This window comes from Homo sapiens, chromosome 22, assembly GCF_000001405.40.
Source record: "Homo sapiens chromosome 22, GRCh38.p14 Primary Assembly".
Lineage (NCBI taxonomy): Eukaryota > Metazoa > Chordata > Mammalia > Primates > Hominidae > Homo > Homo sapiens.
The window spans coordinates 50,407,435-50,425,962 of record NC_000022.11 but is presented as its reverse complement, the minus strand read 5'-3'; the positions used below and the strand labels follow the sequence as shown (position 1 = coordinate 50,425,962).

At 50.9% G+C, this 18,528-nt stretch overlaps 1 protein-coding gene and 1 non-coding gene across 62 annotated transcripts in view; both read right to left on the bottom strand.

Annotated features, from left to right (window-relative positions):
• PPP6R2 (protein phosphatase 6 regulatory subunit 2) overlaps nt 1-18,528 on the bottom strand; it is a 114,317-nt gene that overhangs the window by 19,128 nt on the left and 76,661 nt on the right. For 38 of the 61 annotated variants that reach the window (XM_047441654.1, XM_047441659.1, NM_001365836.1 and 35 more), the window contains 6 exons: nt 11,274-11,411; nt 9,806-9,871; nt 6,984-7,096; nt 6,501-6,614; nt 3,583-3,709; nt 2,349-2,501 (listed from right to left, as the gene is read on the bottom strand). In XM_047441654.1, coding sequence (XP_047297610.1) covers nt 2,349-2,501; nt 3,583-3,709; nt 6,501-6,614; nt 6,984-7,096; nt 9,806-9,871; nt 11,274-11,411 — 711 coding nt within the window. Of the gene's footprint in view, nt 1-2,348; nt 2,502-3,582; nt 3,710-6,500; nt 6,618-6,973; nt 7,097-9,805; nt 9,872-11,273; nt 11,412-18,528 lie in introns of those variants that run through there. The other 23 variants (XM_047441645.1, XM_011530737.3, XM_011530732.3 and 20 more) reach the window with 4 other exon arrangements.
• MIR12114 (microRNA 12114) lies at nt 18,439-18,521 on the bottom strand. The gene has a single exon (NR_162128.1). It is a non-coding gene; the product is annotated as a microRNA 12114 (primary transcript).

Below are 18,528 nucleotides of genomic sequence, written 5' to 3'. Positions count from 1 at the left end.
CCAAAGAAAATATTTGCATATATCTGATAAAGGATTAATATCCAGAATATATATAGAACTTCTAAAACTAAAAAAAAAAAACAAAAAAAAAACTCAATTCAAAAATGGTCAAAGGACTTGAATAGACATTTCTCCAACGAAGCTATTCACATGGCCAAAAAGCACGAGAAGATGCTCGACATCACTTGTCACACGGAGACACTGTTCCACACGCACATCAGATGACGAGCATCAGCCACACGGAGACACCGTTCCACACGCACATCAGATGACGAGCATCAGAAGAAGGAAGACAAGTGTCGGCGGGATGAGGGGGAGGATGAGGAGAAAGGGGAGACTTTGTTGACAGGAAGATAAAATGGTGCAGCCACTGTGGAAAGGTCTGGCCTCAAAACTTAATCATGGAATTGTCACATGACCTGGCCTCATAGGTATTTATCCAGAAGAACTTCTTCTTACTTTCAGAAGAACTGAAAGTAAGGACTCAAACAGGTATTTGTACACCCACATATACAGCAGTGTTATTCACAATAGCCAAGGCTGGAAGCAACCCAAGTCTCCACTGATGGATGGATGAATGGACAGAATGTGGCCCACCCACACAGTAATTTTTCAGCCTTAAAAAGGAAGGAAATTTGGACATACAGTACAATACTGAATGAACCTTGGGCACATAGTGCTAAGTGAAATAAGTCAGTCACAAAAAGATAATACTTTATGATTCCACTCATAAACTGTACCTAGAATAGTCAAATTCAGAGACAAAGACAATGGTGGTTGCCAGAGACTGTGGAGAGGGAGAATGAATGGGGAGTTAGTGTTTAACGGAGAGAGTTTCTGTTTGGGAAAATGAAAAACTTCTAGATGTGAATAATGGTAATGGCTATACAAGATTGTGAATGCACTGAGTGACACACCTTAAAATAGTTAAAACAGCCAAGTTTATGTTATGATATTTTACCACAGTAAATATAAAAGAGAGGAAGAAAGTGGAAGACAGAATTCTTTTGAAGAAGGAAAAGGGGCTGGGTGCAGTGGCTCAAGCCTGTAATCCCAGCACTTTGGGAGGCCAAGGCGGGTGGATCACGAGGTCAGGAGTTTGAGACCATCCTGGCCAACACGGTGAAACCCCGTCTCTACTAAAAATACAAAAAAAAATTAGCTGGGCATGGTGGCGCATGCCTGTAATCTCAGCTACTCGGGAGGCTGAGGCAGGAAAATCGCTTGAACCAGGGAGTCGGAGATTGCAGTGAGCCAAGGTCCCGCCACTGCACTCCAGCCTGGCGACAGAGAGAGACTCCATCTCAAAAAAAAAAAAAAAAAAAAAAAGAAGAAGAGGGAAAAGGAAAGTAGGTCTCTTTTGTAATTGCTTCCCTGATGCAGACTGGGATCTCACAGCCAAAGCAGTGCCCAGAACTCATACACGCTGACAGACGTTCCACACGCGGACAGACCTTCCACACGCTGACAGACGTTCCACACGCGGACGGACCTTCCACACGCTGACAGACGTTCCACACGCGGACGGACCTTCCACACGCGGACGGACCTTCCACACACTGACGGACCTTCCACACGCGGACGGACCTTCCACACGCGGACGGACCTTCCACACGCGGACAGACCTTCCACACGCTGACAGAACTGAGCCAGACAGCACTTCGAGCCCAGTTCTGGGACTAAGATTGCAGGGAGATTCCAGCAGAGCCCCAGAGCCAGGCAGAAGACGGGGGCTGCGTCTGCCAACAGGACCCACTAGGGCAGTGCCCTTCGTTCTCAGGGGAGCAGCCTCATGCTCTCCGCAGAGGAGCCCGCCACCCACAGCCAGGGCTGCTCACTGGCACTACTTGCCAGCACCGCCTGCCCCTTCCTCTCCTCAGCCACCTGGAGCATCATGCAAGCCGTCTGCGGGATGGAGAGGCACTGCCCGCTGGCTTTGACAAAAACTGCCAGGTTGGCCTTCTACTGTGGACGACAGGAGCTTCTCTTTTAGCCATTTTATACCTAATAACCACCGTGTAAGTTCTATGTTGTTCAGTCAGAACATGAGAAAGGAGGTAGACGTGTCACTCTATTCCATCAAACCGGGTTAGAAATCCGCCTTCTGCTTTCAGGGCAATTCTACGGTAGACTCGTCACTTCCCATGAGCCTGCAGCTGAGACACACCCCACTGCTGCTCTGTGCCCCGCCAGAGACCTGTAGTCCAGCCTTGGGACTTGGGACTGGAACCTCCCCGTGGCAGAGCTTTGTCCAAATGCTGGGGCCCTGCTCTGCTGCTCCTGACAAGTCCACAGGCCATGCCCGGCACACTCACAGACATGCAGGGCTGGCTGAGGGGCCCACTTACCAGCAGTAAGTCCATCGTGTTGAGCCGGCAGAGCTCCTGGTTGATGCTGGGTGTGTTTGTGTGCAGCAGTGCTGCCATGAGGCGGGCGCCATGCAGACGGGCATTCCCCAGGGGCTCCTCCAGCACACCAATGGTGGTCAGGATCGCTTTCTTCTGCAAACACAGAAGGCACCACCCAGTTAGGCCCTGTGAGCAGTGAGGCCACTGCTGGAGTCTCTGGGCTCATGCCCATCACTCTAGGCTGGGACCCAGCCTGGGGTAGCGAGGTATGTGGTGGGGGTTCCTCAGGGAGGGCCGTCTGCCAGAAGAAATGAAGGCATCAATGGGGTGAAGAGCCTGCTGCTCCCCTCAGGGCTTCAGAGAGTGCTCCCAGGATGCTCACGGGCACTCCAGTCTGAGCCTGCAGGGCCAGAGAGCCGTGCACCTCAGCGGGTGAGATGTCCAAGATGGGGCCAGCAGTACCGGTCTAAGGCCAGAGCCCTTGGCACGATGCCTCACTGAGGATGCCCAGTGGGGGTCCCTCTGCGGCCACAATCTCAGAACACCAAGCTAACAAGTGTCCCATGAACACACTTTGGGGACACTGACGGGAATGCCTCCTCCGATGGACCGCGGTCTTTTCTGATCCCCCACACTCAGCCTACTGCACCTACCTTCTCTTCACTGAAACCTCCAGCTGACAAAACAGAATCTTGGCCCCCACAGAGCTCGCTAGTGGGACAGGTGGATCTTACCAAGGTGGCGAGTGAGAGGAACTGAGCTATAGGTCAGGAGGGTGCTATGCAGCAGGGGTCGGGTTGTGTCTGGGGAGGGTGAGACGGGATGGGGAGTTGCCTGGCTGGCAGTCTGAACCAGGAGGAGCCTTTGTGTGCCTCACCCCCCTCAACATGCTGCTGAGCAGGGCAAAGGGCCTCCCCTGCCACCCCCTGGTCCCCTCTCAGGAGCCGAGCACCCCTTAGCTAGGTGCCCCCAACTTGGAGGCCAGGCTTATGGTGACCTCGGGGTCATTTGCAGAGGCAGAGATGAGCATTTGCAGATCTGGGAGGGGCAGTCCTGAAAATGTGTTTTGGCACCTGCCCGGTGCTTCTCAAGTGGGGGTGTGGGAATGGCCGTCTTAGAACACATTCACTCCACACTCTGCTACCTATGGGACAAGCTGTGGCTTCTCCTCCCTGCAAATCAACCTCTCCTGCGACGCCTCCAAAGGCACTCAGCAGTCGCCACGGCCATTTACCTTGGGCGGGTTGAGCAGGAGCTGGTGGAAGTCCTTCAGCCGAGGCTCGATGCCGTGTAGTACGCTGCTGCTGACAGCGTATGACCTTTCCAGTCCCTGAGAAAAGGAGTCCACCAAGCCCTCTGTCCTGTGGATGAGGAAAGCAGATGGAGACCGGGGACACCAGGACCCTGTCCAACCTCACCAGCAACTCAGTGCACCCGCTTCTTCCAGAAAGAGCCCTTTTAACTTTCCCAAAAAGAAACCCTAGAGCAGTGCAGCTACCCAGCGTCTCCACACGTGATCTGGTGACTGGTACAGGCAGAAGAGAAAGGTACTAAAGACCTTCAGGCAGATGCTTGCTTGCGACATCCGAGAATATGGAGGCAGGGCAAGTGACACAACACAGGACTCACTGGCCCTAGCACCAGTTAGAGGTCCTGCTCTGTCCCACTTTTAAAACCTTCACTGCTATCCCTGTCTCTTTCACTGTTCCTGTGTCGACTTTTATTTTTATTTATTTTTATTTTTTTTGAGCCAGAGTCTCGCTCTGTCACCCAGGCTGGAGTGCGATGGTGCGATCTTAGCTCACTGCAACCTCCACCTCCTGGGTTCAAGCGATTCTCCTGCCTCAGCCTCCTTTTTGTATTTTTAGTAGAGACAGGATTTTGCCATGTTGGCCAGGCTGGTCTCGATCACCTGACCTCAGGTGATCCACCCGCCTTGGCCTCCCAAAGTGCTGGGATTACAAGCGTGAGCCACTGCGCCTACCCCCTGTGGTGTTTTCAAGCAAGTCTTCTGAGATATTTATTTAAACACTCTTTCCAGTTGTAAAAGTAATACGTAATCATATATTTTTTAAAGTAATATGCAAAATAATTTTAAAAATCAGAGAGCCAGGTGCAGTGGCTCACACCTATAATCCCAGCACTTTGGGGGGGACAGGTGGGAGGATCGCTTGAGCTCAGGACTCTGAGGCCACGCTGAGATATGATCGTGCTGCTGTACTCCCACGTGGGTGACAGAGCAAGACACTGTCTGAAAATAATAATAATAATAATCACAATAATCTAAGAGAAACAGCTGGCTTATCTCTGTTTTCCTGATTTTTACACAGTCCCCTCTATCACATACAGGGTTAAGCTTGGGCCTCAGAAGTGGCTCAGCTTTCCTGGGTTTATGAAGATTAAAATATCAATATTCCAGTTGCCTAACTAGAGAAAACGGTAACATTATAACACTACTTCTGGTTAATAAACTAACAAATATGTATTAGGTACTACCAGAGACAGACAGAGAGAGAGAGAGAGAGAGAAAGAGAGTCCTAACAACCTCACTATCAAGGTTAAGTCAATTTCTTATCATTTTCTCATTGTTCCTTTTTCTTTCACTTTAAAAAAGCACAGGCTATCAGTGTTGGGGGCTGAATTATGTTCTCCCCAGAACGTGGAAATAAGGGAGCTACGGCCACCTTGGGAGAGTTAGACATCGTCCCAGCCTGTGATGGAACGGAGACGACGGAAACGTCCTGAGACATCAGGTTCCTGCCGGCATGTGGGGAACCTGAATCCAGAGATGGGGTTCAAGGGCCAGGGTGAGGCCAGGAGGGGAAGTGCCCAGAGGACACTGATGTGGCCCTTTTGGGACACACCCTATAGGATCTCCTGGGCACCTGGCGGGCCAACCACACCCCCTTGTGCCAATGCCTCCCTCACAGACTCCACTCGGCTGTCTTTCCATTTGCGCCTCATGGGCATCCTCTTTGGAGTTTCAACTGCTTGAACGGCTCTGGCAGTGCCCAGCCTTCTATGACTTGAGGGAAGGACTAGGCCACACTATGATCCAGAGAAACAGTTTCAAACACTTCCTGAAATTTCTACTGGGGGTCAGAGAAGGGTCTCCAGCACCTATATCCTCAAACAAACTCAACTTTCACCCGAACTCACTCTTCTGCTGCTGACTCCTCTGTCTCTGCCCATTCACTGTCGTGACTCAGCAGCCTCCGACAGCTGCACCTCAGGACAGCGATGTGGGGTCACAGCAAAGGAGCACCTCCAAGCAAGCTCCACTCTCCTCTGCCACATACTGCCCCATGCTTGTGTCCACACTGGGACCCCCTCACTGCCTCATCCAAGGAGCTGTGTCTGACCAGATGCGGCCTCTCAGGGAAAATGTCCCTGACTGCGAGGCTCCACCCACCAGCCCCATGTGGGTCCCTTCTTGTGAGCCCCGAGGCACTGGGTGCATGTCTACTGCACTCGCCACTCTGCATCACCCTCGCTGTCCACAGACGGGCCTCCTGTGCCAGACTGGGAGCAATTAAAGGGGAGGGGCTGTGTCTCAGTTCTCTGTCTCCTCGGGCCCGTGTTAGTGCACAGTGGGTGCAGAAATGACACCTGATGAATGAGAAAGGGCAATGGAGGAGAGTCGCCTGGGAAAAAAGTGCTCAGCACGACGCTCAGCAGGCGGTGCCGACCCGTGGGTGCACAGGGCACGGGAGACAGCGGTGAGTGTCACACCCCTGCCCTGTGAGGGCCAGTCTGCATGGGAGATAAACACATGTATATGTAACCATGCATCAGAGTGGAAACCCTGCGACACACACACAAACACACACGGGAGCTGTGGGGACTTGTCGGAACAGTCCTTGGGGAAAACCTGCCAACCACACCTGTTCCACGCACATCGACAAATGCATCGCCAACTGGTCGTGACGAGCAGCTTCAGGCTGGAGAGGGAGCACCAGTGATGATGAGGGTCTAAGGGGACTTGGCCACAGCCATAAAGTCAAGCCTTCAACAAGGGGAATCTATCCATGTTGTTACTTGCATAATCAAAAATTAAAACCACAAATGACATAATCCAGACTGCTCGTGTGGGCTGCCATATCACTGAGGCGTCAAGTTCAGCTCTACACGATTTCTCCTCGTGAGACTCACCCAACCCGCCTGGTTTCCAGCAAGGTGAGTAACACCTGAGTCCCACTGACGAGGCAGCTCTCCGTCCGGTCTCCATCAAACATGTTCTTCAGAAGCTGCTCCACACAGTCCTGCCTGCTGGACACACACAGAGGTCACTGCCTGGCAGAGCAGACACACACACAAAGGATGCAAGGATGCTCCTTCCTCCCCGTGGAGGACCCCAGCAAAACCCTCAACCTGCTCAGGCTCAAGGCAAGGCGCCAGGGTTCTCAGGACACTCCTGCTGCTGCTGGCCCACTCTCTAGACCCACCAGGTGACTCCTCTGGAGACCCCTCCCTCTGGAAACAGGCCCCAAGTTAACATGGGCTCTGAACCTGGGGTTCATTCGAATGTGAATCAGAGGAGGTGGCAACATATCCTGGTGCTCAGAGCAAGGCTCACAGACGTCCCCATGACCCAGAAAGGGAGGCCCACCAGCACCACGGCCCACCAGCACTCACGACTCCAGCGCTGTGAGGAGCGGGTCTGGCTCCAGAGCCTCTTGCAGCTGACTGCCCTGGTCTCTGCCCAGCCTAACTATGTCACAGAGAGTCTGAGAAGCATTTGACTGCCTCTGAAAAGACAAGGGAAACACAGAGTCCCTCAGTGTGGAGAAGAAACAGCAGGACCAGCCCTGCTGGGCACACAGGGCACAAGTCCTGCTGCTTCTCTGGCAGATGCTAGACTTTCGTTGTTGTTCAATACCACTGTGATGTTCAAATACTTTTTCTTTTTTTTTAAGATGTGGGACTTTTGGCCAGGCACAATGGCTCAGGCCTGTAATCCTAGCACTTTGGGAGGCCAAGGCAGGCAGATCATCAGGTCAGGAGATCAAGACCATCCTGGCTAACACGGTGAAACCCCATCTCTACTAAAAATACAAAAAATTAGCCGGGCGTGGTGGCGGGTGCCTGTAGTCCCAGCTACTCGGTTGGCTGAGGGCAGGAGAATGGCTTGAACCTGGGAGAAGGAGCTTGCAGTGAGCCAAGATCGCACCACTGCACTCCAGCCTGGGTGACAGAGCGAGACTCCATCTCAAAAAAAAAAAGAAAAAGATGTGGGACTTTCTCTAAACCAGTTTCCTACAAAGAAAGATTCCAGACAACAGCTTCATTTCAAAGAAGCCTGTGTCTGCCTTTTCTGTCGTCAAAATGTAGATCTGGTTAGAGTTTTCTTTTTTTTAAAGCTGCATTGAACTATCTTCAGGAATTCAAAACAGGGCTAATAATGGTCAGATATGCAATGCAGATACTGGGCTATACCTGTGATCCACGTTTTGAAATATGCTGAATATGTGGCCATGTTACTGATACTATATTTTAAATGTGGTAATAAGTAGCTGCTATTATTCAGAATGAGTCCTGTAAGCTAATGAAAATAGGGAAGTTGCTACCAAGAAAACAGAGGACTCATCTTTTCTAGGGAAACATTAACACGCAATCCGTGATGGGAACGTGCCCCTGCTGACAATGTAGGGCTGTTCTGTAGGTAAGACAAATGTGATTAAGAGAGAAACAACCCCTGACTCCCTGCAGCATTGGTTCACATGCTGTGGGAAGACTGAGGGAAAGCAAACACTCACAGGAGTATTTTAGGGAGAAAAGAAAGCAGCCAGATTAGCTCTCAGGTCTGCCTTTGGGACCCAGGCCAGGCCATCAGCCCACAACACCCACATGCATGGGTGGGCTCCAGTTCTCAGGCAGGGCGGCCTCCTTGCTTCCTACAGACGCCAACATCAGGCAGGGCGGCCTCCTTGTTTCCTACAGACGCCAACGTGGCCTCTCCTGTCTGTCTGATCAGCCCTGTGGGCTGATGGAGAACAAAGTAGGGTGGTTGGCCAGGCAGCGGTGAAGGCCTCAGACACGAGTCAGCACCACTGTTTTCCAATCTGCCAAGGACACGTGGTTGTATGTATAGATCGGTATGTGTAATGCTAGGAAAAGGCCTACTGGGATATACCCCAAACTCTCAACAGGGATCACCACAGGGAGCCCCATTGTCACCTTAGGTGCTTCCAGGGTGGGTGGCTCCTAGGGGGCCCCTAGCAATCCCGTCCTGGAGTTCATGCCTTTATAGCCCCCATCTCTTTTAGTGTGGGCTGGACCCAGCCACCCAGGTCTAAAGAGCCAAATACATTAAGAGTGAGGGGAAAGCTCAGCTCCACGTTGTGTGCTGCCCTGTGGAGACGCCCATGTGGTGCAATGCTGAGGGCGGCCTCGGCCCACAGCCCTGAGGAACTGGATGCTGCCAAGCCATCTGTGACCATGGAGCTGGCCTCTACCCCAGTGGAGCTCTGAGATGACTGTATTTTGTGAGACTCAACAGAAGAGCCACTAAGCCACATTCAGACGCCTGATCCACAGAAACTGATACTGCTACAGGTAAAAATACTTGCCATAAGCAACTACATTTCAGGGTAATTTGCTATTCGGTCACAGACGACTGATACAATTCTATTAGAATTGTTCTTTGGTTTGCTTGTTTGTTGAGACAGAATCTCACTGTCGCCCAGGCTGGAGCACAGTGGTGTGATCTCGGCTCACTGCAAGCTCCCCTTCCTGGGTTCAAGTGATTCTTGTGCCTCAGCTTCCTGAGTGGCTGGGATTACAGGCACCTGACACCACACTTCGCTAATTTTTAGTAGAGACAGGGTTTCGCCACGTTGGCCAGGCTGGTCTCAAAACTCCTGACCTCAAGTGATCGGCCCGCCTCAGCCTCCCCAAGTGCTGGGATTACAGGCATGAGCCACCGCGCCTGTCCTATTTTTATAATACACATAGATTATTTTTCAGTTAAGAAAAAAAAGTGTAGGCCAGGCATGGTGGCTCACTCCTGTAACCACAGCACTTTAGGAGGCTGAGGTAGGAGGATCACTTGAGGCCAGGTTTTTGAGACCAGCCTGAGCAATGTAGTGAGACCTCATCTCTATTTAAACAACAACAACAACAAGAAGAAAACAGCCTAGAGGCTGGGTGTGGTGGCTCACCCGACTGGGTGAGCAGGAGAATTGCTTGAACCCAAGAGGCGGAGGTTGTGGTGAGCCGAGATTGCACCACTGCACTCCAGCCCAGGCAACAAGAGCGAAACGCCATCTCAAAAAAAAAAAGAAAAAAAAAATCCAGCCTAGAAGTCAGTGCTTGATTAAAGAAAGAAAAGTACCTAACCGATCCTCATCTTAGGAAAGGGATGACTTGCCCTCCCTCGCCCCCTGGCCCGCAGCAGTGGGTGACCTGGCAGCACAGGCCTGGACTGATGCACGAAGCTCGGTAAGCAGCACACTCACATCTTCATCCTGGCTCGGGTGGATCAACTCCACAAGCCTCTGGATGACCTTCTCTTCATTCAGCCACTGAAAGAGAAAAAGAGGCCTTTCAGTGTCGCTGCTCAAGTCTAAGTAAACAACAGGAACCTTTCCCCTTTGGTGCAGCACTGCACCCGTTTTCTAGAATATAGACTCTTTGCCTGACACACCCCAGACCCAGAAAGAACACACATAACACACAATGACTGAGTTCTGGGAGGTTCTGGGAGTGGCTCAAAAGATGATAAAGGATGACCACCATCCCTCTGTCCTAATGGTGCGTATGTAAGCTCTGTCTTCAGGACTTCTCTCTTAAGGACCAGGGTGCAAATGAGCCACACAAGCTATAGCTCAGGAGCCCCGCTGGATGCTGAAGCCAGAGAAGCCTCAGCTGTTCCCTGCAGCACTGGGGCCTTCCCATGTTGAGGAAGAGTAACTCCACCCTGGAGAGGCTACACGAACACTGTGGGGTAAAGCTCAAGGGCAACGGGGGCCCAGTGTGAGTGTCGGGGTCTGGCAGGCCTGGGCCGTACCTGGCTACCGCACCGCACTGCTGCGCCCTGTGCCTAAATTCCTTATCCAAAAATGGGATGAGCTGTCCCCCCGTGGCTACTTCGTGAAGTGAATCAAGTAAAGCAGCTAAAAGGCTGCCTGACGTACAGTTCTGCAGGCTTCCCACTAACGGCTATGACCACAGCTAGTACTGATCCTGTGTCCACTGTGTAAAGGTTGGTGGCGGTCAGTCATTCCTGGTGAGAAGCTCCTCCCTGAGGAAGCATTACTAACCTAAGAGTGAGAGTGGTCATCGGATGAGTCCTGATTCCAGGAGCTGGGAAACAGGCAGAGCGCCTCAGGGTTTACTCTACTCTATTTTAAACTTCACCACAAACAAAGCTGGCCGAACAGTGAGCAGAAGTTTGTCAGCACGGATTTCCTGGGCTTATCTGGGGGGCATCCTCCTCTTTTCGGGAACTGTAGCACCTGTTCTCACTGACTAAACACCATCAGAACAGACGCATCCACACTCCAGGGTAAACAACGGGGCTCTGCAGGGAACTGCTGTCCACCGGGGCTCTCCTGGCAGGCACAGGCCTGGACGCAGGGCTAGCACCTCACTGACCTCCTGCTCTAAGCCACAGGGGTGGGCGCTGGCAGGGGAAAAGGAGGCAGGCGAGGAAAGTCCATTTCGGCCTCTTCACAGAGCCGGAGGCTGGAGACTGCGGGGAGAAGGGACCTCTCTGCTCTGTGCTTCTGAGCGAGTTAAGTCGGGACAGTGGAAAAGGTACAGGCCACAATCCTTGACAAGAACCCCTAACAGCCCCACGGAGAAATGCACGCTAGGTGGAGAGATGGGGGCCGGGCGCCCTGGTGCTCTGAGCTCCTGCACTTAACCAGCTGGCTTCCTGCAGCACCCCTGCCCTCGGGAACGGGGGGGGACTCCCGCACTCACGTGCAGGACGTCCTGCCGGAGCCCGGCTGGCTCCACACAGCTGACCAGGCGCAGCAGCAGGTCCATAAGCGCTGAGGTGCCGATGTGCTTCAACACCAGGCTGATGAACTTGTCCTTCTTCTTCAAAAACGTAATCACCTGAAATCACACACACCTGAGAGGCAGGCGGGGCCGACCCTGACAACCCTGAGACACCTCCTCCAAAAACTCTCATGGGAAAGTTGAACTAGTAATTATATTAAGCAGAAATAACGGAAAGACCCAGACAAGATTGTAAGAAAGCCCCCTCAAGGGACAGGCAGAGTCCTACCAGGCAGTGGTGTATGTGAGGGTCTGGGCGGGGGGGGGGGGGGGGGGGCCACTGCACAGGGACCCCTGTGGCTCTGCACCGACAGGACACAGCTGTCCCAGGTGGGGCAGCACAGGCTGCCGTGAGCAGCTGCCATCCAATACCTACTGGTTCGGGTTTTTCCAACAGAAACGAATGGTATAGACAGAGCTGAGCTGAGCTGATGGCCATCACTGGCAGCCCCAGGCCTAGAACACACATCCAGGGAGCACAGAGTGCACAAGACGCCAGCTGCTGACCAAAACCCATGAGCGGTTGAAGGGGAAAGAAGACTGAGGTTTTAGAAAAGAAAAAGAGGCATCCTGCAGCTGGCTGATGACCAGTGCCAACAAGGTGTAGACAGCTAAGCGTGAGGCCATGGGGGGGCACAGCACCCATCACAGACGCAGTGGGCTGCTCAGACGGCGGATCCAAGGTAACAGTGGAGAAGTGAAGGCTGGGCTCGCTGCAAATTCAGCTCAACTCAGCCTACAGAAATAAGTGTCTGCTATGTCCAGGCTACTGGGCTGGGGGCTGGGGTAGACCCAGCCCTCCACTGGAAACAATGGGAACACAGAGAAGGCCCACCTGGCTGCAGGGCCTCAGCCTCACTCCCCAGTGCTGCAATGAGGAGGGACAGTAGGAAAAGGAGTGGTGGGAAAAGAGAAGGGGAAGAAGGAAGAGGAGGGGGTAGGGGAGGAGGAGAGGAGGATGGCTCTTTGAAAAGGATGATTAAACTTCTAGAAAGACGAAGGACAAAACAGAAGGTACAAATAACAATATTAAGAATGAAACAAGGGGCATCGCCAAAGATCCTACAGAAATAAAAACTATTATGAGAGGTTTGTAGTTTTGTTTTTATGTTTTTGAGACAAGGTCTTACTCTGTCCCCCAGGCTGGAGTGCAGTGGTGCGATCATAACTCACTGCAGCCTCCACCTTCTGAGCTCAAGTGATTCTCCCACCTCAGCCTCCCAAAATGCTGTAATAATAAGCAGGAGCCACCACACCTGCTATATTATGAGAAATTAATAGAAACAATTTTATGCCAGTTTTTGTAAATTTAGAAAAGAAATTTCCTTGAAAAAAAATACTTATCTGGCCAGGTGCGGTGGCTCACGCCTGTAATCCCAGCACTTTGGGAGGCCGAGGTGGGTGGATCACCTGAGGTCAGACCAGACTGAGGTCGAGACCAGCCTCAACATGGAGGAAACCCCGTCTCTACTAAAAATACAAAATTAGCCAAGCGTGGTGGTGCATGCCTGTAATCCCAGCTACTCGGGAGGCTGAGGCAGAATTGCTTGAACCTGGGAGGCGGAGATTGCGGTAAGCCAAGATCGCACCATTGCACTCCAGCCTGGGCAACAAGAGCAAAACTCTGTCTCAAAAAAAAAAACAAAAAAAAAAGGACTTATCTAGGCCAGGCGCAGTGGCTCACACCTGTAATCCCAACACTTTGGGAGGACGAGGCAGGTGGATCACCTGAGGTCAGGAGATCAAGACCATCCTGGCTAACATGGTGAAACCCCGTCTCTACTAAAAATACAAAAAAAATTAGCCGGGCATGGTGGTGGGCACGTGTAATCCCAGCTACTCGGGAGGCTGAGGCAGGAGAATAGCATGAACCCAGGAGGCAGAGCTTGCAGTGAGCCGAGATCACGCCACTGCACTCCAGCCTGGGTGACAGAGCAAGACTCCGTCTCAAAAAAAAAAAAAAAAAAAAAAAAAAAAAGGACTTATTTAAACTGACAAGAAACAAAATCAGAATAGTTCCAGAACATACTAAAACTCCACAAAATCTATAATTAATAGGCTCTCTATACAGAGAAGGTTTAATGGCCTAATAAATTCTTCCAAACATTTAAGAAAAAATAACCCCAGGCTGGGCATGGTGGCTCATGCCTGTAATCCTGGCACTTGAGGGAGGTCAAGGCAGGCGGATCACTTGATCTCAGGAGTTCAAGGCCAGCCTGGCCAACATGGTCTCTACTAAAAATATAAAAATTAGCAAGACGTGGTGGTGGGTGGCTGTAATCCCAGCTACTCGGAATGTTGAGGCATGAGAATTGCTTGAACCCAGGAGGCAGAGGTTGCAGTGAGCCGAGATCACACCACTGCACTCCAGCCTGGGGGATAGAGTGAGAGTCTATCTCCAAAAAAAGAAAAAATAACCTCTATTTTTTTTGAGCCCATAATGATCGATGGATCATATTCACACATTCACATCAATATTCTAGTTGTGATATTCTACTAGTGTTTTAGAAAATGTCACCATTGGAGGAAACATGTCAAAGCATACAAGGATTTTGTTTGTTTTTTTGAGATGCAGTCTCACTCTGGCCCAGGCTGGAGTGCAGTGGCGCAATCTCGGCTCACTGCAAGCTCCGCCTCCTGGGTTCATGCCATTCTCCTGCCTCAGGCTCCCGAGTAGCTGGGACTACAGGCACCCATCACTACGTCCAGCCAATTTTTTGTATTTTTAGTAGAGACAGAGTTTCACCGTGTTAGCCAGGACGGTCTCGATCTCCTGACCTTGTGATCCGCCCGCCTCGGCCTCCCAAAGTGCTGGGATTACAGGCGTGAGCCACTGCGCCAGGCCTTGTTTTTGTTTGAGACAGTCTCCCCTTTGTCGCCCAGGCTGGAGTGCAGAGTCACAATCTCGGCTCACTGCAACCTCCACCCTCGGGTTCAAGTGATTCTCCTGCCTCAGCCTCCTGAGTAGCTGTGATTACAGGTGCCGGCCACCACGCCCAGCTAATTTTTGTATTTTTAGTAGAGACAGGGTTTCACCATGTTGGGCCAGGCTGGTCTCAAACTCCTGACCTCAGATAATCCGCTTGCCTTGGCCTCCCAAAATGCTGGGATTACAGGTGTGAGCCAGCACGCCTGGCCTTTTTTCTTTTTTTTTGGAGACAGAGTCTCGCTCTGTTACCTAGGCTGGAGTGCAGTGGCCCAATCTTGGCTCACTGCAACCTCCGCCTTCAGGTTCAAGTGATTCTCCTGTCTCAGCCCCACCAAGGAGCTGGGATTACAGGCGTGTGCCACCACACCCAGCTAATTTTTATATTTTTAGTAGAGACGGGGTTTCGGCATGTTGGCCAGGCTGCTCTCAAACTCATGGGCTCAAGTGATCCACTCACCTCGGCCTCCCAAAGTGTTGGGTGGAGTGAGCCACTGCTCCTGGCCAAGGATTTTCTTCATATTATTTCATACAACCTCATGTAAATACAGTAATCTCAGTCAAAATTTCAATTAAAAAGATACCATTTAAAGGCCGGGTGTGGGGGCTCACACCTGTAATCCCAGCATTTTGGGAGGCCAAGGCCGGTGGATCACCTGAGGTCAGGAGTTCAAGACTGCCTTGCCAACATGGTGAAACCCCATCTCTACTAAAAATACAAAAATTAGCGGGTCATGGGGGCAGGCACCTGTAATCCTGGCTACGCGGGAGGCTGAGGCAGGAGAATCACTTGAACCAGGGGGCGGAGGTTGCAGTGAGCCGAGATTGTGCCCCTGCACTCCAGCCTGGGAGACAAAAGGGAGACTTTGTCTCAAACGAAAACAAAAACAAAATCCTTGTATGCTTTGACATGTTTCCTCCAATTGTGACATTTTCTAAAACACCAGTATAATATCACAACTAGAATACTGATGTATGTGAATATGATACATTGATCATTATGGGCTTGAAAAAAATAAGAGGTTCTTTTTTCTTTTTTTTGGAGACAGAATCTCACTCTATCCCCCAGACGGGAGGCTGAGGCACGAGAATCCATGAGAATCGCTTGAACCCAGGAGGTGGAGGTTGCAGTGAGCCAAGATTGCGCCACTGCACTCCAGCCTGGACGACAGAGCAAGACTCCGTCTCAAAAAAAAAAAAAAAAAAAAAAAAAGACACCACTCAAAATAATACAAAGATATCAAATACCTAAGAATAAATCTAGTGAAAGATGCTTAAGACTGCCATACAGAGAACTGCAGTGTATTTCTGAGAAATCAAAGTAGCCTGAGCTACCAGCTGTGCTGCTGTGGTGTGAAAGGAGCCCCGGGCAGCGTGCACAGGAATGGAAGTGGCTGTGCTACACTAAGACCTCACTCACACAATCAGTGATGGCTGCTTTTGGCCTGTGGACCACAGTTTGTCAGACCCAACTACAGCCAATGCAAACCTCATCAAAATTTCAGTAGGTTTATTTTTGGGGGGCAGGGTATGGAGAGGGAGAATGTAGAAAGTGACAAACTCATTCTAAAATTTGCTTATTCTAAAACAATAAAAAAGAGAAAGCAAAAATTAAAAAATAGAAAAGAAAAAAAATAAAAACAAAAAACAAAATAGGCCGTGTGCAGTGGCTCACACCTGTAATCCCAGCACTTTGGGAAGCTGAAGCAGGCAGATCACCTGAGGTCAGGAGTTTGGGACAAGCCTGGCCAACATGGTGAAACTCTGTCTCCACTAAAAAATATAAAAATTACCCCAGTGTGGTGGCAGGCGCCTGTAATCCCAGCTACTTGGGAGACTGAGGCAGGAGAATTGCTTGAACCCTGGAGGCAGAGGTTGCAATGAGCCAAGGTCACGCCACTGCACTCCAGCCTTGGCAACAAAGCAAAACTCCATCTCAAAAATCATCATCATCGTCGGCCGGGCGCGGTGGCTTACGCCTGTAATCCCAACACTTTGGGAGGCCAAGGTGGGCGGATCACGAGGTCAAGAGATTGAGACCATCCTGGCCAACATGGTGAAACCCTGTCTCTACTAAAAATACAAAAATTAGTTGGGCGTGGGGGTGCACGCCTGCAGACCCGGCTACTGGGGAGGCTGAAGCAGAAGAATCGCTGGAACCCGGGAGGCGGAGGTTGTGGTGAGCTGAGATTGCGCCACTGCACTTCAGCCTGGCGACAGAGCAAGACTCTGCCTCAAAAAAATCATCATCATCATCATCATGATCAAAAGGCAAAGAATCATAAAAATAATCTTGAAGAAAAACAAATAAAGAGATATAGAAGAAATGTGATTAGCCATGAACAGATGATGTGGAATCTGAGTGACAGAGACATGGGGGTTCATGAAATATTTTCTCTCATTTGTAGACGTTTGAAAGAATTCATAATGAAGGGCGGGGAAAATGCGGACGGTCATTTCACTGAAGCCCCACCTTTAGGCTACTCCCACAGTTTCAGGAAACACAGGAGGAAGGCTCAAGGCATCCCTGCCTCACAGCTGGCCGTGAGAACAAGCCAGCTGCTGGGTGATGGAAAGTTTCGCTCTTGTTGCCCAGGCTGGAGTGCAATGGCGCAATCTCAGCTCACTGCAACCTCTGCCTCCTGGGTTCAAGTGATTCTCCTGCCTCAGCCTCCTGAGTAGCTGGGATTACAGGCATGTGCTACCACGCCCGGCTAATTTTGTATTTTTAGTAGAGACGGGGTTTCTCCACGTTGGTCAGGCTGGTCTCGAACTCCTGACCTCAGGTGATCCACTCGCCTCGGCCTCCCAAAGTGCTGGGATTACAGGCGTGAGCCACCGCACCCAGCCAACAGAAGAAATGTTTAACAGTTCAGTTCATATTACTTTAATGCCTTAAGTACTGGGTGAGAGAATGGAAGAAAAATATTATATGAAGCAGTAAAATTATAAAGAAAATATCCGAAAGTGGCAGGGGAATAAGATCAGGTTATGGCAAATTATGAGATACATGCATCTAGTCACTGGGCTGCAAGGGCCAGGTAGTAAAGGTTTTTACAACATCTACTACCACCTCACAGCCACGACAATCCCCCGGCCCACACCACAGCTCCCCGCTGCCTCCACTCCCACTCCCATTCTGCCAGCAGCCTCACACCCAGCACGACCCACTGCTGCTGGCGACCTTCACTCACACTCAGCTTCAGAAGGAGCTGAGGTGAGGCAGTCCCCTGGCGGCCCTTGCAACTCTCAGATTTACAGCGCAAGGGAAGACGGCATTCCACTGAACACTCACATGCATGCTGAATGTCGTCAAGGGGAACCGCGGCCTTCGTGGAGCTGCGCTTTCTCAGAGCTCAAAGCAGATGTAAGATACTGGTTTGTGCCCTGACTGAATGTTTGATGGTATGAAACAATTACGGTTAATATTTTTGGAGTGTGATCATGAAATTCTGATTATATTTAAAAGAAAAAAGTCTTTATTTTAGAGATACATAGCTGGGCATCGTGGCTCACACCTGTAGTCCCAGGACTTTGGGAGGCCTGGGCAGGCAGATCACTTGAGCCCAAGAGTTCGAAACCAGCCTGGGTAACATGGGGAAACCCCATCTCTACAAAAAATATTTTAAAAACTAGCCAGGTGTGGTGTTATGTGCCTGTAGTCCCAGCTACTCAGGAGGCCGAGGTGGGAGGATCACCTGAGCTTGAGGAGGTTGAGACTGCAGTGGGCTGTGTTGGAGCCAGTGGACTCTAGCCTGGGCGTAGTGAGACCCTGTCTCAAAAATAAATAAATGTACATACATACTGAAATATTTACATGAGAAATAATCTGGTGTCTGGGATTTGTTTTAAAATACTCCCATCAGGGATGGGCGGGTGGGGCATGACACAGGAAAGAAGACTGGCCAAGGCGGACTGCAGGGTGCAGGCACAGGGACCACCACGCCTCTCTACCTGTGTGTCCACAGCCTGGAGGGGCAGAAGCCCAGGTCAGGTCACATGTAAGGCAGGAGCAAGGATGGACTCCAGGAAGACCCCGTTACAGCTGGCTGAGATGAATTCACTAACTGCTTTTGCAGAAGTCTAATGCTAGAAGTGACCTTTGTTTTGAAAGAATAAATGCTCTGGACAGACAGACACGCCACCCAGACAGATGAAGCTGCAGACCTGAGAAAGTGGATGTCCAAGGTCCTGCCATGATGCCCCAGGACCTCACACCTCCACCTGGTCAGTGACAGCACAAGATGG